At 36.5% G+C, this 19184-nt stretch overlaps 1 protein-coding gene across 5 annotated transcripts in view, besides 1 other annotated feature; it reads left to right on the top strand.

The window, feature by feature from the left end:
• Positions 1-19184, top strand: part of CHN1 (chimerin 1) — a 206573-nt gene that overhangs the window by 87541 nt on the left and 99848 nt on the right. For 4 of the 5 annotated variants that reach the window (NR_038133.2, NM_001822.7, NM_001025201.4 and 1 more), the window contains one exon: positions 2670-2783. Coding sequence is in view for 4 of the 5 variants with exons in the window: in NM_001822.7 (NP_001813.1) it covers positions 2670-2783 (114 nt within the window). In the remaining variant the exon portion in view is untranslated. Of the gene's footprint in view, positions 1-409; positions 517-2669; positions 2784-19184 lie in introns of all 5 variants that reach the window. The other variant, NM_001371514.1, reaches the window with a different exon arrangement.
• Positions 2642-3841: an enhancer, noted in NCBI's record as "MED14-independent group 3 enhancer chr2:175778728-175779927 (GRCh37/hg19 assembly coordinates)". NCBI's record gives its function as "activates an origin of replication core promoter dependent on BRD2, BRD4, P300/CBP and CDK7 cofactors, and independent of MED14, by STARR-seq in HCT116 cells {active_cell/tissue: HCT116}" and the evidence as "EXISTENCE:reporter gene assay evidence [ECO:0000049][PMID:35650434]".

Here is a 19184-nt window from a genome sequence, read left to right as displayed (position 1 = left end):
CATTCCTCAAAATTGTTTGTTTTTTCTGACTGGAGATCATATCAGATAAAAGTATACATTATAAATATTTTTAAATTATTTAAAATTCTTTATGTTTTCAAGACTTAGAAATGGATTACAGATGCACACCTATGAGTTGAGGAAAGGGTGATTTCAAAGTTAAGGTTGTATTGTAATTTATATAGTCATTCTGCTTTTGGTATAATAGATTGCTTTTAAACCATACTATTGGAAGTAACACCATATCATATGAAACATCTCAGTACGTGCGGTCTTGGGGGTTAGAAATTTTTGATCAACTTGTGCAAATAATTTTAAAATTCTTTAAATATATTGTCAAGTTTTGTTTCAGAATTTGTTTTCTTTAGTTTGATTTTCTTTTAAGTTAATTGAATTTTTTTTTTTTAAGATGGAGTTTCGCTTTTGTCGCCCAGGCTGGAGTGCAATGGTGCGATCTCGGTTCACTATAACCTCCACCTCCCGGGTTCAAGCGATTCTCCTGCCTCAGCCTCCCAGGTAACTGGGATTACAGGTGCCCGCCACTATGCCTCGTTAATTTTTTGTATTTTTAGGACAGACGGGGTTTCACCATGTTGGTCAGGCTGGTCTTGAACTCTTGACCTCAGGTGATCCACCCGTCTCAGCTTCCCAAAGTGTTGGGATTATAGGCGTGAGCCACCGCACCTGGACTGCAATGAGGTTTTAAAAATTACAAAACCTCCTGGGTTCAGGCAGTTCTCCCACCTCAGCCTCCCGAGTAGCTGGGACTACAGGCAACTGCCACCACATCCAGCTAATTCTTTGTGTTTTTAGTGGAGATGGGGTTTCACCATGTTGGCCAGGCTAGTCTCTAACTCCTGACCTCAGTTGATCCACCCACCTCGGCTTTCCAAAGTGCTGGCATTACAGGCGTGAGCTACTGCGCCCAGCCAGTTAATTGAATTTTTAAACAGATAGATAACTATATTTTACCAACTGTATTATTTGATATTATGTAAAGTTAAAATATATACCAACGTGCTAAATAGCAAGGGATAGGTTACCATCTCCTTGCCTGCAGCAGATTCAAAGCATTAGCCTTTGGACCTAGTTCTCAAAGACTGGGAAATTTATGGAGATAAGAAATTCAGGAGCCCATTGTAAACCTAGCTGTCATGATTTGAACATGCCTACTGTGAACTGTTTGAAGAGTTAAATTGAGAGACTGAACCATCCCTATCAGGAAAAACTCCAGAAAATTTCCTCTTGCCCCTAGTAATGTTCCTGAATTATTAAGGTGCCATTTCAACGCCTTTTAAATGTATCATTCCAAATTCAAGTGACTATTGTTTCTTTAGTACCAGTAAAAGCTGCAAAATTTCTTTTGAGCAATGAGTCATTGCAGTTATTGTAGGGGAGGAAAGACTTTCCCTCTACCCTCCTATGTTTGAGAGCTGGGTCTATGAAATAAACAATAGGCAGATTAACAGGAGAGAAGGTATACAAATTTGTTAATTTTTAATACTACTTGCACAGGGGCATCACAGAAAAAAATAAAGTGAATCCCACTCCAAAAAGTGAGATTTGAGAGTTTGTATACCATCATAACAGGGGAATGGGAGGGAAGTTTCTGGCCATTTACGGGAAGGTAAATGATAGTTTGTGAAAGAGTTTGTATGAATGTGTTGTCGACTTTTAGTCTTCTCTCCTCCGTAAGAGTCAGTCTTCCCCGGTTGCTGAAACTCATGGGAGGACATTGGTAACAGTTGAGTTCCTTTTGGATGATCTATCTTTAGGTAGATAGGGAGAGTCAGAGAAAGCCTGTGTCTGCATTTGATGTTTTTGAAGTGCCTTTAGCTCAAAATACTCGATACAGCAAAGTGGCATATTTTGGGGTGACATGTCCTGAATTCCTTCATTATCTTTGAGTTATAGAAGGACATATAGGTTCTTTGTAAATTGTAAATCGCTATAAAAATGTGTAAGGTGGCTTTTTATTTTTAATATGTGTCACAACTGACATTTTTTTCAGTGTTTTATGCCAGATTGTTATAGGTTCATCTGTGTTTGTGTAAAGAGCATGTTATTTGTGTTTATTTTTTCTCTATTTTTCTATGTTAATCAAAGATAAGGTTTTAGCAGGGAATGAAAACAAGTATTATAGTTGTTTGCTTTGGACTTGAGTGTTCAGTAATGCAGATTATGCACATTATTGGGCAATCATGCCAATTAAGGACAACCCAGGGTCCTGGAAAATTGCCAACATAGACTCAGCCAAAATTTTGGAGCAGTGCTACTAATGGGAAGAAAGGAAAATAGGATACATTTTCTGCGTTTTTTTTTTTTTCTTTTCTTTAGCAAGCCATATGGTTAAATGGATACGTAAGAAAGGAATTGTCCTCTTGAGAGAGGTGGTTGATCTTCCCTTAGATGGATGTGAATTTTGATTCCATGGTTGTTAACTGGATTGGGTAGTACTTTGGTGCTGTTCTTATCACCACAGAGAAGCTGGCTGGGGGCCAGGTCCAGAGAAACACAAGCATAGTTAAACCCAAGTGCTTCCCTTCCATTATGTGGCAGTACTTTGTCTTGAAAACAACAAGAGAAGGTGGTGGTGGTGGGACGTTGTTTTATCTTGTTTTATTGAAAAATGTAGAAAGCACAGTTTCTGAATAGACTTTGTTTCTTAGGTTTCATGGCATGATCTCCAGAGAAGCAGCCGACCAGCTCTTGATTGTGGCTGAGGGGAGCTACCTCATCCGGGAGAGCCAGCGGCAGCCAGGGACCTACACTTTGGCTTTAAGGTTGGTCATGGGCCTGCAATTACTACTGTGCTTTATTTAAAACTCTCTTAATATAGGGCTTTAAATTTTAAAAGCATTCAGCATGTAATTGAATTGGTTCTTGTTTTCTTGGGATCTAATTACCATTTTAATAGCTTTGAGACCCTTTAAAAATTCCTCGTGAATGGTAACACTCAGTAATTAAGAATAGAAAAACTTTTTTTTTTTTTTTTTTTGAATGGAATCTCACTGTGTTGCCAGGCTGGAGTGCAGTGGCACGATCTCGGCTCACTGCAACCCCCTCTGCTTCCGGGTTCAAGCTATTCTCCTGCCTCAGCCTCCCGAGTAGCTGGGATTATAGACGTGTGCCACTACGCCCAGCTAATTTTTGCATTTTTAGTAGAGACGGGGTTTCACCATGTTGGCCAGGATGGTCTCGATCTCTTGACTTCGTGTCACCCACTTTGGCCTCCCAAAGTGCTGGGATTATAGGCGTGAACCACCACACCCGGCCTGAAAAGCTTTTAAAGCATTTTGCGGTAGCTGCTTCCTTCCATTCCATCTTACCCCTTCTTTCCTGTTTGTCTAGCTTGTCGGCTTCCGTCAATTTCTTGAATAAGGAAAGAGATCAAGAGAAAAGATATTCATAACTCATAAAGCTAAAGTCAGTGCCATTTCTCTTAGGTTGGCTTTTGGTTGGAACAGTTTTTCTTGGGAGCTCTTGGCTCTTCCCTATCAGCTGAGCTTCACTTAGTGTTTTGGCTTACAGTACAGTGCCCAGAAACAAATACTCCTGCTAACCCTGCAATAATAACCCAACTTGTAAGAACAATAATACAAGAGCATACTTATCCACTGGACTTACCTTATGCCAGGCCTCTAACCTCATTTAATCCTCGCAACAACTCTATGTATTGTTATTACCCCCATTTTACAGATGAGGAAACAGAAGACCTGGATGGAGATTGAGTAACTTGATGAAGGTCACACATTTAATAACTTGTGCTGCTGCTATTTGAACCCAGATTGTCTGACTTCGGAGTCTTTGCTCTTAATCATTCTACATTGCTGCCTCACCAAAGGCTTGGAATATTTATCCGTTGTCTTTGTTCATCCCTTTATTTGTTCATTCATATATACATTCATCTATTTGGAAAAGACTTAAAAGCAGAGACTTCTGAAGACAGAGGTCAAATATATGAAATTTCTTTTGGTAGTCACAAATAGAGGATAGAAAGTTGATGTTAATGTTTAGGACTAACATGTCTAATTCCTTCTCCAATCACTTATACCTGTGTGAGCGAGCAGGGCCTGCTCTGATTCCTGTCCACAAGATTTGATATTAATCTTTCTATTAAATAGAATGAATACAATTCAGTATTATTTCATACTGAATGCTGAAATAATTGAATACTTGGAGAATAGAGCTTGTCACAGGAGTTCATGGAAATTTGCTTTTTATGGTAAATTATAAAGTGTAAATTCCACTTCAATTACTTAATTATACTGTTTTTTTCAGGTTTAAATTGTGGTATACAGGAAAAAAATTCTGGTATGGCAATTCAAATACCTATTCAATTTACCATTAATTGAATTAGAAGACTGATTTGGGGCAAATCACAGAATTTCTTGAAGTTGGTTTCTTCATCTTTCTACTCCTAACATATTATAATTCTAGAATTCTTCACCACCTTATTTCCAAATAGTCTGGTCATCTGATTATCTATGGTAAACAGCCTTGATGTAAATGGTCCAGAATAAGGAAGGAAGAAGGTGAGGTAAAATGAGAAACAGAAGCCTCTCTTTCTTTCCTTTTGGTTGCCATTTCCCCTGCATTTCTCCAGGATCACTTGGAAGTTATAAAACTTTAATTTGAACTCAGTTTTTCCTAACTACAAAATTCAAGTACTTTCACCACATTACCACATTGCCTGTCATCTTATATCTGTCACACAGTTTTCACCAGCTGATACCAGCAAATACTTGAAGGCTAAGGATTTAGTTTGGAGAAAAGTAGCACCCAGACCTTCATATCTCTTTCTCATTCCTGCCTTCTTGCACTCTCCCATTCTACTCATGGCTTTACATTTATAATCACTTCCCATCCACTTTGGCCCAGTAAATCTTGATGGAAATGTTTCAAATTAATATCTCTGGGGTAACTTACAGTCTTTCTTTTGTTACTGAAAATTGCCATAAAATCATTACTTGGAAAAGAAAAAATAGTGAGTAAAAAGGGGCTGTAATGGTCATAGATAGAGGAATTTTACTCACAATATACATTGAGTAATTTATGTGCCCAAATATGATTGACATTTTCCTTGTTTTAAACTTGATGTATGGCTAGGAAGTGTTAAGCAAAGTCTGAAATAGAAGTTGCACCGATATATGTATTATTCTTATCTGATACTCCCATTTCAACTGGTGATTCTCCCAGTTCACATCAATTTGTTTTTAACATACACGTAATCCATTAAGGGGTAGCCAGTTTGTCTATTTTATACCCATCAGTGTTATTTATGCATTTACTGTGTCAACTAGGGGCTCTAAAATTAGGAATAAGTCCTTGAACTTGATTCCTCATAGGCACCTCAATCTCAGTATATCTCAAACTGAACTCAACACTTTTCTCCCAAATGTGCTGTGATATCTATATTTCCTTTATTAGCTGGTCACATTATTATTCAGTCAATTCCATAAGACAGAAACTAAGAAATTATTTTCAGTTTTTCTTTTAGGTGTATTTTATTGTATTTGTAAGGCCTGGCACTATTCATCCAGAGGCCCCTACCTTACATTATACTACACACTATACTTCGTATCAAATACATATTTTCTGCTGTGAAAATTGTGTAAGGATTTTATGTAAATTGCTTTTGAAATTAACTTTAGTTTTATAATTTTCTTTTTTTGTGTTTTGGAGCCATACCTTTCTTTTCATATTTCGTATTTTTTATATTTCCGTATTTTTCACTTTTCTTGGACCCTGGCAAGCCCTGGGTGCTGTACCTGTATGATAATGATTAAGAGGACTTTTTCTTTGTTGCTCATCTCACACAGCCGAAACCAACGATCTTATTTCTTAAGTATTTCTCAAAATTACCTCTCCTTTTCAACTCTAAGCCACTTTCTGGACTAGTTAAGTAACTGCCTAAGAAATGTCTGTGGGTCCAGCCTTATCCTTCCCAGTACTATAAATGATCTGCCTGAAAATCTGATGGTGTGATCAGCAAGGTTGTAAGGTTTAAGTAGGGCACAGAGTTTCAAAGAACACGCCTCCCTCATGCATTGGCATCTCTCCTGCACTTAAAGGAGACTAGCCCTCCACTGAGGATCCTAATGAATGCTATGAGGTGCTGTTTAGGGGAGTGTGTATTGTATGTGTGCTGTCACACTACCAACTTTCTGCAGTCAGAAAAGAAGTTTTCACCATGTGGCATGACAGGTTTTCTATGGGTGAGATATTTTTTGCTCTTCATTTGCATCTTCTTCCATGCCCCATCTCAGCCTAAATTTTAGGCTGAGCCTTGTCTGGCTTTTCTACCTATGCTCCATCTCTTGACTTAGGAAAAATGATTTTTACTCAGTGAAAGTTTGTCACACAAGGGAAGCATATAGACAGACATTTGCGTGTTCAGAGTGTGTAGTTGAAAAGAAGATGCTAGCCAGGCACTTGGTTATGACTCATGAAGTGTTTCAAAGTGATTCTCGGATTTTCTGTATGCTGATTTTGACAACATTTGTATTCGTTGTAGTTTAATGAGATATGGCGAATATCAGTTACAAGTAACCTAAAATAATTTAAGAGGTTTGATTGAAAACACATGGCTTTCATCATTTTAGAACTAATTATTTAAAAGATATGTTTTATAAGACACTCTAGTTTTTCTCACTAAAAGAAAAAAATACTAGGTTGAGTTTGGACATTTTCTATGGGCCATTTTTCTGGTTTACTATTCCTGACTTCTGCTGTTTGTGATCTGCTGTTAGACCCATTCGTTGAGTTTTTAATGTCAAATACTATGTTATTTAGTTCCAAAATTTTCATTTGATTTTTGGAAATAGTGAAATTTAAGAAGGTGAAAAACCTTGTGGAGAGCTAATATGAGTGAATATATGAAATGATCTTTTAAATATTTGATATCTACTTTCTCTTTTTTTTTTTTTTTTTTTTTTTTTGAGACGGAGTCTCGTTCTGTCGCCCAGGCGGGAGTGCTGTGGCGCGATCTCCGCTCACTGCAAGCTCCGCCTCCTGGGTTCACACCATTCTCCTGCCTCAGCCTCCCGAGTAGCTGGGACTACAGGCGCCCGCCACTGCGCCCGGCTAATTTTGATATCTACTTTCTCATTGTCACCACTGTCCTGGATAAAAACCCAAACAATTTATGGGTATAAATGCAATCATAACCCATTCAGAACTAATTTTTTTCTTGCTATTTTTATCTAAACATTTTATTTTTGGGGGGATTGCCATAAATGCCAAAAGGCCTTTACTAACTCAACAAATTTGTATCATTTTTATCCTAATGGCTGTTTACTTTTCCTGCCTTAACAAAAATAATGCAAATAGGTGAACTATAGCCTAAAATTAGGATCTTACTATTATTTCTCCTAAGTCATCCATGTATTGCAGAGTACATTTGTTTAGACTCTGTCCAAGAGTTTTCTTGGAAATTAAAAAAAAAAAATTCTTTATCAACGTTGGACATTTAATATGGCATAAGACTAAAGTTATGCATTAACTTTGACTTATTAGTGGGCTGTCTGTCAATGTTGGTTCCCTTTGACATAAAATACTTCTTTTTCACAATGACTTAACCTGCTAAATTTGTTCACTTTTACTAAGAAAAATAAACATTGTATGTATTTCACTAAAACTATAGAAGAAAACTGGAAAAAGAAACATTTAAAATGTTAACAACTTAAACAGGAACACTTTCTATGTAATGTATAGATTGAAAGAATAGAGGAAAATCAGAGAGAATAAGGAATTAAGATTTAAAAAGAAAACTCTCAGAAAATAATTGCAGTTACCCATTCTCACTGTTAGAACTTTGGAAATGAAGTTGTAGTATAGACTTTAGAATTAGACAAACCTGAGTTCTAGTTTCCTGCCTTATTTTGTATATTTAACCTTTTCAAGCTTTAGTTTCCTATTTATAAAACAGGGATAATAATCCCAGTATATCGCAAAAGGGACCCTTTAAAATTCTGTTATTAGCAGCATCCCACTTTCAAGAATCATATTCTTTATCCATTGAGATGCTTTCAGCCACAAGTATTACCTGACATTCAAAATAAGCAAACTCTACTCACTTAGACATAAGTTATTTAAGGTAATATCTCACATACTAAGTTCAGAAATGTAATAATAGCATGGATGGTCAGTATTCTAGTGATGTTATGAAGGACTTGTGATCTTTCTATTTGTATTCATGGCTAGTCACAGCATCAGCTTCAGTCTAAGGTTGGTTTTCCTTGTGTCAAAAGATGGCTGCCAGTGCAATCAGAATTGTAAGATTTCTTGTTTATGCCCAGCAGGAGAGTGTAAGGGAACCTCTCTTCTCTCTTGCAGTATGCATCCTTTCCTTCAGGTTGATAGGGCTAACATGAGTCTGCCTTTCCCATTCTTGGACCAGTAACATCTCGGGGAAATGCATGTACTGATTGCTTGTCTAACCTAGCATCTGCTCCTAGAACAGGGAAATGGGTCAGCTTGTTCTGGAAGGTAAGGCTTTGGAAGGAAGAATGAATGACCAAACAAAATCTGGTTTTCTTTTCTTGTTTTAAGTGAAGGAAGAAGGTTGGAGGAAGGGAGGGAACGTGTATACCAGTTAGATAGTTAACTATAGCTAAGTACAGGCTGTACTTAGAAAGCAGTTTCTTTATTAGGCAGATCAACCCATGGTGTAATTTTTCAAATATTTTAGCTCTGGTCAATCTCTTACTAAAGTTGTATGTCTAATTTTAGCTTTAGTAAATACTGTAGTAAGAAAACCAGGTGTGAGTTCCAAAGACAGTTTTGTGTGAGGGCAGGTGTCAAAGAGTTTTGTAAAATATGTTTTGATAATGTTCTTTTGCCTATAATATTGTAGAAATTTGATTTGAAATGTTTTCCAAACTGACTTTAGGTCAGCATTTTAAAGGTGATATGGAAAACCTAATTATATTAATAATTTTAGCATAATGAAACCCATAGATTTTTTATTAATATCCAAAAATATTTATCCCTGGTATGTCACTAATATGTGTCAAGGCATTTTCATGGAAATTGGAGGGGCTTGCTCTTCACTGTTAAATTGGACAATTGAAATAATTCTCCAGATTCTGAATTATTAAAAAGAGCAGCATTTATTGAGCTTCTATATCGTGCCAGATACTATTCAAGTGGGTCAAGAAAGAAGACATTGAAGCTAGCTCTTAAAGGTAGACTGGCTTACCAAGTAAAAGGGTAGAATATGATGAAAAACAAGTATTTTGCGAAGAAGAAATGGTGCCGGAATGTAGAACAGCATGGAGCATTTCGTGTATGGCAGTCTGCTGAGGGACTGGGAGTATGGGAAATTTTAGCACTTAGTGTGCCAGGAGAGCCTAGAATTTCATGCTTAAGAATTTGGGCTTTATCTGTAGGAAATGGGAGTCATTGAAGGCTTTTAGTAGAAGACAATAGGGTTACATTTATGATTTAGAAAGATCATTGCTGGAGGAATTAGAATGCTGAGTGGAAAGGGTGGTAGGAACTATGTTTTACCAGAATTATTTGGATAATTAATTTAGTAAGCAGTTTTTCTTTGACTATGGAGAACTGATATTTAAAAGGGCTTCTGTATCCTTACAGATTTTAAAGGGTTCACTTTGAAGAGAACTTGTTAACTCCAAATTTGGCAACTCCAGAGACATTTCTGTTAATCTGACTCATTTTAGCTTCTCTAAATTGGGAGAAGAACAAAGTGACATGTGCAAGAGTCTTGATAATCCCCAAACCCTGTATCTGGATATTTCAGGGCATATTTGGACATATTCCAGAGAATGCCTTATACCTACAATACTTGGCACTTTCCTGTTGATTTTATGCTGACAATAACGTAAGAACTATTTGGAAAAATTTTAGTAATTGAGAACAAATGATAAACACTGAAAAAACATGATGTTTGGGAAAATTATATTTTCTTTTAAAAATATGTCACATTTCATAAATTCAGAAACATAAAACTTTTATCAATCTGAAAAATAAAATTTATTATACAGAATAGTATGTATAGTATCATACTACTTATATAAAATTTCGTACCTATGGGTACTTAAATAGAAAGGTGTCTAAAAGAATGATCACCAAAATGTTTGGTGTTTATCTCTTAGTGACTAACTTAAACATGATTGTTACTTCTTTGTATTTTTTGAGTTACCTGATTTTTTTTTTACAGTGCACATGTATCATTTTACAAACAGAAAAAAAAAAAAAAAACCAAAAGAGCTATTTTTATTTTGAGAAGAAATGAAGACATTAGTTGCAATGTTGGGTCAAAACAAAAGATAATACCTCCTAAATCTCCAAAGATTTGACACTAAACAGAATGTAACAATTTATTTAAATAATTCCTTGGAAGAAGGATTGGTCAGCCCTGGGGCAATAGAAAGAAAAGTCATAGAGGCCTCTGTTCCATCCAAGGTCTATACGGGAGGGGAGTCTTGACCAGCATTGGCAGTGCTGTCTCTGGCATGGAGAGGAGAAAGGAGCCACATGGGTCTGTCTGCCATTAAACATAATCAATTGAATTTTTTTTCCAGCAGTAGTTCCCAGAGCCTATGAGTATTGTTAATAACAAACTCATTTGATCATGAGACCCCCTTTTCATGGACTTTCTCAGTGGAACACACTTTGAGAAATGTTCCATTCAACAATTGATCCCTCATTTCCTCTTGCTCTGGACCTCATGCTCACCAAGCAGCCTTCTGATTAATGTCTTCCCGTGTTGTCTGTCTACAGAGTGAGAAAACTTAAAATATATAGGCTGAGTGTTCAGAGCCTTTGAGTTATTATTTCTCATTTTCAATTAACAAATTAAGATTAAATGCTGGGACTACCAGGAGGAAAAGACGGAAGAAAATCTACAAGGTTTCTTCTGTTTGGTAAATTCAGATAAACATGCACTCCCCAGTCCTCATTTTTTCCCCCCTTTTAAAAAGACACCCGTTTTTGATCAATGAACCTAAAATGACTGCTTGCTAAAGTGTTAACTTGATAGAGAAAAAAATGTTAAGGGTTAATTGCCTCACCGATTCTTTTTCTTCCTGTTTTCTCATTTTTTTCCTGGACCAAAAAAGACTGCCTTCTATTCAAACAGTGTTATGAAACATCTACTGAAGGCAACCAAGCACTGTTTCTATGTATTATAAAATTGCATCTTTTTTTTCTTACTCTGTTTGCAAGCATGGCTTTTGCATGTTCTCATATCTTACTTTTTTAAAACTGTTTCTTCAGTTATATAGCATAGCAATTCACCTGTTTCAAGTGTACAGTTCAGTGGTTTTTGGTACATTCACAAAATTATGACATAATCAATTTTAGAACATTTAATGCCCCTGAAAAGAACCTCTACATCTATTTGCCCTCACTTTCTGTTTCTCAGCTCTCCCAGCCCTAGGCAACCACTAATCTACTTTTGTCTCTATTGATGTAAACAACCTAGACATTTCATATAAATGACATTATATATGTTCGTGACTGACATTTTTCCCTTAGCATAATGTTTTCAAGGTTTATCCATGTTGTGGCATGTATAAGTACTTTGTTCCTTTTTACTAATGAATAATATTAGAAAAATATTCCAGTAGTTGATGGACATTTGAGTTGTTTCTACTTTTTGGCTATTATGAATAATACTGCTGTAAATAATGTTATTATGAATAAAATTGTGTGCAAGTTTTTGTATAAACATATGTTTTTATTTCTTTTGGGTATATACCTAGGAGTGAAGTTGCTGGGTCGTATTGTAACTCAAAAGTAACCTTTTGAGGAATCATGGAATGGTTTTCCAAAGTGGTTATATCATTATAGTCCCACCAGCAGTGTATGAAGTTTCCAGTTTCTTCACATCCTTTTCAACACTTGTTATATCTCTTTGAATATAGACATCCTAGTATATGTGAAGTGCTATCTCATTAAAGATTGATTTGCACCTTACTCTTGAATGGTATTTCATTTAAAAACATTTTTATCTGGCTGGGCGCGGTGGCTCACACCTGTAATCCCAGCACTTTGGGAGGCCGAAGCGGGTAGATCACGAGGTCAGGAGATCGAGACCATCCTGGCTAACACGGTGAAACCCTGTCTCTACTAAAAAAATACAAAAATTAGCCGGGCATGGTAGCTGTAGTCCCAGCTTCTCAGGAGGCTGAGGCAGGAGAATGGCATGAACCCGGGAGGTGGAGTTTGCAGTGAGCCTAGATTTCGCCACTGCACTCCAGCCTGGGCAACAGAGCGAGACTCCGTCTCAGAGAAAAAAAAAAAAATTTTTTTTTATCCTCAGCATGGTTTTTATTCACTAGTATTCTGTCTATTCAAACTTCAATTCTCTCTCAAAAGTATGCATACATAACAGTGGATTTAAAGTAGAAGGTAGAGAAAGCCAAAAAGCTGATTTCAAGATATTTTTGGCTTTTGTATTTTTAAGGCATTGTATAAAGCAAATTTTATTATTTCATTTAAGGGTAGAGTTGAGTTTCAAGTACATTTTGGGGCTAATAGAAACTTGTACATAAAGAGGATGACTGTCTCTCTAGTTATCTACTTTGCAAAGAAGAACTAGAATCTCAGGTGTGTATCTGCTTTAAGGTACAGTGGAAGACATGCTAGATTCTCTTTAAGATCTGTTTTTTAGTAACTAGATACAGTCCTAGCCTATGTTGATAATGTGATTCCTTTTCTGTGAATGATTTGGAGTCACCAAATTTTTTTTAATGGACTTAACAGTTTTATAAATATAATATTAGCTAACATTTCCAAATCTTTACTCTTCCAGGCATTATGGTAAATATGTGAATTATCTTTTAGATAACCCAAACTTTTTCTGGCACCCATACAAGGTGATAATGTGTGGTACGTTAAGGTAAATGCATGAGATTGATCATGGCCCAGTGTGACTGGCTCAAGGACTTCAATGTATCAGACACTCTTTGGCCTCTGAAAGGGCTGGGCAGGTTTGCTGTCTTGTAACCCGTAACCTCTGTTCTTGGCAACAGGTTGGAAAATTAAGTTTTATCTATAAAATAAGACCATGTGGTAGATACTATTTTTCCCCCATTTTACAGAAGAGAAAACCAAGGCTTAACTTGCTCAAGAACAAACAGCAATAAAACTGAGAAATATAACTTGTTTAAAAACAATATCTGGCTGGGCACGGTGGCTCATGCCTGTAATCGCAGCACTTTAGGAGGCCAAGGTGGGCAGATCACCTGAGGTTGGGAGTTTGAGACCAGCCCGACTGACATGGAGAAACCCCGTCTCTACTAAAAGTACAAAATTAGCCAGGTGTGGTGGTGCATGCCTGTAATCCCAGCTACTTGGGAGGCTGAGGCAGGAGAATCACTTGAACCTGGGAGGTGGAGGTTGTGGTGAGCCGAGATCGCACCATTGCACTCAAGCCTGGGCAATGAGTGAAACTCCATCTCAAACAAACAAACAAACAAACAAAAAATTCAAAAACAGTCATAAAACATGCAGCACTTTATCTAAGTTGACAAGAGGTATGACACAGGAGTAAACTCTTAGTTTTTATTTTTTTAATTTATTTTTTATTATTTATTTATTTATTTTTTGAGACGGAGTTTTGCTCTTGTTGCTCAGGCTGGAGTGCAATGGCACAATCTCGTGCCACAACCTCCACCTCCCGGGTTCAAGCGATTCTCCTGCCTCAGCCTCCCGAGTAGCTGGGACTACAGGCATGCACCACCATGCCCAGCTAATTTTGTATTTTTTAGTAGAGACGGGGTTTCTCCATGTTGGTCAGGCTGGTCTCGAACTCCCAACCACAGGTGATCCACCTGCCTCAGCCTCCAAAAGTGCCGGGATTACAGGCATGAGCCACCGTGCCCAGCCTACTCTTAGTTTTTAAATCAATGCCATTTTAGTAATTAAGATTTTAAAGTTATCAACACATTACTATTTTTATAAACAGATATACCTTTGTTTAAAGCCTTTAAAGATAAGGTTTATTCCAACTTATTCTCAAGGGTTAACTTTCCACCCCCGTAGTCTCAAAAGAAAAAAGCCAAATTAAGTGCATTTGAAGTTTAATAATTTAAACAAAAATCCCATTATACGATCACTTGGTAATTATTTGTACTTATAAAAATAATTTTATAGTAACCTTGTATAACTTATCAAAGTAAAACAGCAATAATTCTTTATAAAAATAAGCGTATTTGCATCTGTGTAATTTATTATATTTCTGTTATAAAAGCAGCACATAGATATGGTTAAAAAATTTTGAAATAAAAGTGTTTAGAATGATAAATTATAGTACTTTCCCACCGTGACATACTTCTAGTTCCACTCCCTAGAGATAACACCATTCACAATTACTTTCTATCCTTCCAGAAACTGGTCATGCATAAAATATACTTCTGTTTTTATGGCATATGTGCATATTGTGTTTTATTTTAAATGAAAATCATTAAGGAGTGGCTAACTGTAACAGCAAAGATGATCTCTAGTCTTTGCAGAGGTTTGCCCTATTGTCTGCCTGACTATATAGTTGTGCAATAAACAGCTAATGCCTGACAAAAGCCATCATTACCTTGTGTATTTAGTTTTAGCTAATTGGTAGTTTAAGATCATGTTGAGCCAGATTCTGTGAGTTTAGCTTCAGTGCCTATGAGGAGGTTGATGATCAGTGATAGAATGGACAACGAGATAGTCAAAAAGGACTCATCTGTGTTCTGTAAATGTAGTTGTTATTTAATTTATTGTGGCTTTGAGTTTAGAATACTGATAAAATTCTATTAAGCAAGGGATTTCTGTGAGAGGGTAATACAATCTTTACAGTTCTGAAGATTTTGTGTGAAGAAACTATTGCTGCTATCTTAGAAAATGATAAAATGCACTGAAGTAAAAAATGTAATTTTGCTAATGATTGAAAACACCCAACAATTCCTAATTGAATCTCAAAACATTAGGTTGACTTATAAAGTGAGCTTGGCCAAAGAGTTCCTGAGTAAAGCCAGAGAATCATAGTAGATACTGATAAAGGGGCTTTTGCAGTTTTAAAATATGAAAATTGGTTGAAAGCATTTTTCATGTTAAAGAAGAAGGATCAAAAGGAACTGGGGAAGGATTATGCTGCTAGTAGGCGTTGACGTGTAATGTACTGTGTGTTCTTTTGATCTGATAGCTCATGATAGGTTCAGTTGGTTACCATGGTTTCATTCCATTTCCTGCAAACCTTCTTGTTGTGCTATTTGGAATAAGTGAAAAATAATGTTCTGTAGAACATTTTTCAAAACTGTTTTTCTCCTCTTAGTTTAGATTATGAATCATTTTATGGGAAAATTTTAAGATATAAGAGTAAGTGATAACACATGATGACAGTAACATTTAGTTCTGCAGTATTAGAAAATTAATATTGATGAAGGGGATAGCACAATTTATTTAAAATATAATATATTATCAGTGCTAAAAAGCTTTTTAAAAACATTGATATAATAATTCCAGTTTATGTGAGGTACCCTTGCTCAGGTGTTCTTTAATAAAACAAACCATAGAAAGTAATTGATGTGACACAGTAGGAAATGGCTAGTTTAACATAAGGCATCCCTTACTTGAAAAAATTGATGTGTTCCTGAAAATGTGTTGCAAATTGAACTGTATTGTAAAAGCACAAGAGGAGATAGCTGTTCAAAAAGATTAGCATTTTTTCCCTGACAAATATACAATACAAAAAATATTTTAAAATGTAGGAAAACACAAAGGCAAAAAGCACCCCAATTCTACTATCCAGAAATAATCACTGTTAAAACTGTGTTGTATGAAATTCTAGCATTTTCCCGAGTTATACAGAAATGACTTTATACAAGGTACACTATATTATGGTATGCTTTTTTTCAGTTAGCTGTGTATTATGAATATTTTCCATGTTGATAAATATATGAGAAGTTTGCTATTTGAATTAATTCTTCGTAAGGTTAAGTTTCACCTCCCCTTTTTAAAAATTCTGATTTTCACTTACATTTACTTATTTAAATGTAGGTCTATCAGTAACTTTGTTTTTATTACCACGTGTACTATATATAAAATGCAGAAAAGTAGGAAAAGGAAAATATTACCTATAATCTCATGGCCCTCAAAGACAAACATTATTTTTTGGCATTTATTAAATGTATTTTTGTTGTTCTCCCTGTTGCTTTGTTTTTAGAAAATTGCAATATCCTTCTAGGTGCTGGAGATACAAGGAAAAACAAAACAGTCAAGATCCCTGGCCTTATGGAGCTTAACAGTTTATTAGGTAGAGAGAGGATTAGACTTTAATGAATTGTCCCACAAATGCCAAGCTAAAAACTGAGGCAAATGCTGTGGAAGGAAAGCAAGGGAGATACGAGTGCATAAAGGAGGATCTGATCTAAACCCAGAGTCTCACTCTAAATCTAAATTGCAATCAGGGAAGGCTTTTCTGAGAAAGGAAAGTCTGATTTGAGAACTGAAGCGTTGTGAGAGTGATCTAAGGAAAGAGAGTGAGTGAGAGGGCAAAGAGAAAGAACCTAGAAGCCCGACCAGCATGTCCATGCAAGGGCTGCAGTGCACATCTCTGAACTGAAAGAAGAGGGTGGCCGGGAGCACAGTGAGTTGGAGAGGGAAGAAGTGAGGCTGCACATCTGCTTCTTGTAGGCCCGGTTAAGAATTTTGCTCTTTATTCTAAGAGCTGGGCTGTGACATAACCCAAGCTTGAATTTCCTTTTGGTTTCTGAAGAATAAACAGCTGAAGTAGATCAATAGTGGATGCACACAAGAAAGTTACTTGTTACCTTTTCTCTTAGTAACCTCTTCATGTCCATTGCCCTATATATTTTGTGTATAGTATTTATGCAACCATTTATTATATTTACCATGCAAGCTTTCTCTATTTTTGTTGGTCTTTGACATAATTTAATTTTTCCTGGTTACACTTCAGTGAATCTTTTTCTAAGTGAAAATTTTATTTTATAAAATTTATTCCATTTTTCTTTGCCCTAGATAGCACACCTCCACAAGATATTTGATAGTTACTTTTTTTTTTTTTGAGATGGAGTTTCGCTCTTTTTGCCCAGGCTGGGGTGCAATGGCGCAATCTCAGCTCACTGCAACCTCTGCTTCCTGGGTTCAAGCGATTCTCCTGCCTCACCCTCCCGTGTAGCTGGGCATACAGGCACCTGTCACCACGCCCGGCTAATTTTGTATTTTTAGTAGAGACGCAGTTTCACCATGTTGGCCAGGTTGGTCTCGAACTCCTGACCTCAGGTGATCCACCCGCCTTGGCCTCCCAAAGTACTGGGATTACAGGCGTGAGCCACTGCGCCTGGCCTTGATGGTTACGTTTTAAAAATTTTTATGAGACAGGGTCTTGCTCTGTTGTCTAGCCTGGAGTATGATCATAGCTCACTGTAGCCTGGAACTCCTCAGCTGAAGTGATCCTCCTGCCTCAGCCTCCCAAGTAGCTAGGCCTACAGGCACATATCACCGCACCTGGCTAATTTTTTCATTTTTATGTAGAGACAGGGTGCCACCAGGCTGGTCTTGAACTCCTAGCCTTCTCCTGAACTCCTGGCCCGAGAAGCAATCCTCCCTTCTCCGGGTCCCAGAGTGCTGTGATTGTAGTTGTGAGTCACTGCCCCTGGCCTTGGTAGTTACATTTACTTTCTTCTAGATTTCATGGTGTGTTAACATGTAACTTGTTTATCCACCAATAATTTATTTTGATATTCGATAAATATTTTCCCAACTGTATTGTATTTAATACTTTCTTCAAAATATTAATAGGTACACAGAAGTAAAGTAGAATATATTTGGGGATTGTTGCATACTGTATCCCTGTCCTGGTGATATTTCTAAAGACTCTGAGAAGTTCTGCAGTGAAACAAAATGAACATACATATACACATAAAAACTGACAGTTTGTTATTTCCCTAACTTTTTTGAAAACAGATAACACTAATGCCTCACAGAATACCATATGGTATAATTCTTAAGATTTGTTTGCTAATGGCTAAGCAGTGGTTCCAATTCAATCTGGGTGACCTTTCCACCCCTCTTCCCAATTTTGGGGAATTATTCTTAACATCTTATTGATGTCAACTCTACTTTGGAATTTGACAAGCTCCTCAAAATTGAGGTTACATTTATTTTTCCTGTCCTTAATTTTAGTCAAAAAGACATGGCTAAGCACATAGATCAGGTGTTGGCAAACTTTTTCTGTAAAGGATCCTATAGTAAATATTTTAGGCATTGCAGGCCAATTGAGAATATTATGTTATATAGATGCTTGTGTAGCCATTTAAAAGGTAACCACTGAAAAATTTAAAACCAATGTTTAGCTTGTTGGTGATACAATAATAGGCAGTGGCCTAGATTTGGCTCTAGAGCTAAAGTTTGGCAACCCCTGTCTGTTACTGCTACCATCTTTGGCAAATCTTTGACCTCTTTACACAATCTAGAGTTGACATATATACTGAGTCACAGACACAGGGACAAGAAGATATTCACAGGATGTAAGTGTTTTTATTTTCACTTTGCTTTTGTTGTTCACATGTAATTGCTACTATTTTTATTGCTGATTTTTAAACTTACCTATACTGTGACTCTTTCTAATTCATATGTATCGTGTCTGTCTTCTCCTGAGTGCCCTCCTTTTCAGTTACCAAAGTTTTTCTTAGACTAGGCTTCTTACAGCACTTTTTCATTCAAAAAGAATCTACTGGTATAAATGTATATAAAAAAGGAACTGAGAAGGTAACAAGGCTGTGTGGGGGTCTAGGAACCAAAGGAGCCCGTCCTACTGACAGCCAAGGAGTTTTAAAGCTCTGTGACTCCCTCAGGATTTTCTTGGAATTTTCTAAGCAAGCCCAATCTCCATAAAAATAACTAAAATTGTACTCTTTATTTTTCCTATATCATTGTAACAGACAAACAAAAGCATATTTTGGGGTGGCAATACTAGGTAATCGGGAATATTTTAGGGACTTCCTGTTTATACATTTTTTTAGTTTATTAATTTTGTTATTATGGTAGAATTCTTAGACAAGAATTTTCTGCCACTGTTGGGGAGAAAGTTAACATAGGATCACCTTTTAAAAAATTTATAGTATTGTGCCCAGATAGACATGATCTTGTAGAAAAAAAATCTTAAAATAATGAAATTATTCTATCTTTGCAGTAGGGAATGAGAACTGGAA

This window comes from Homo sapiens, chromosome 2 (genome assembly GCF_000001405.40).
Source record: "Homo sapiens chromosome 2, GRCh38.p14 Primary Assembly".
Classification (NCBI taxonomy): Eukaryota; Metazoa; Chordata; class Mammalia; order Primates; family Hominidae; genus Homo; species Homo sapiens.
This window is presented reverse-complemented; position numbering and strand designations above follow the sequence as displayed.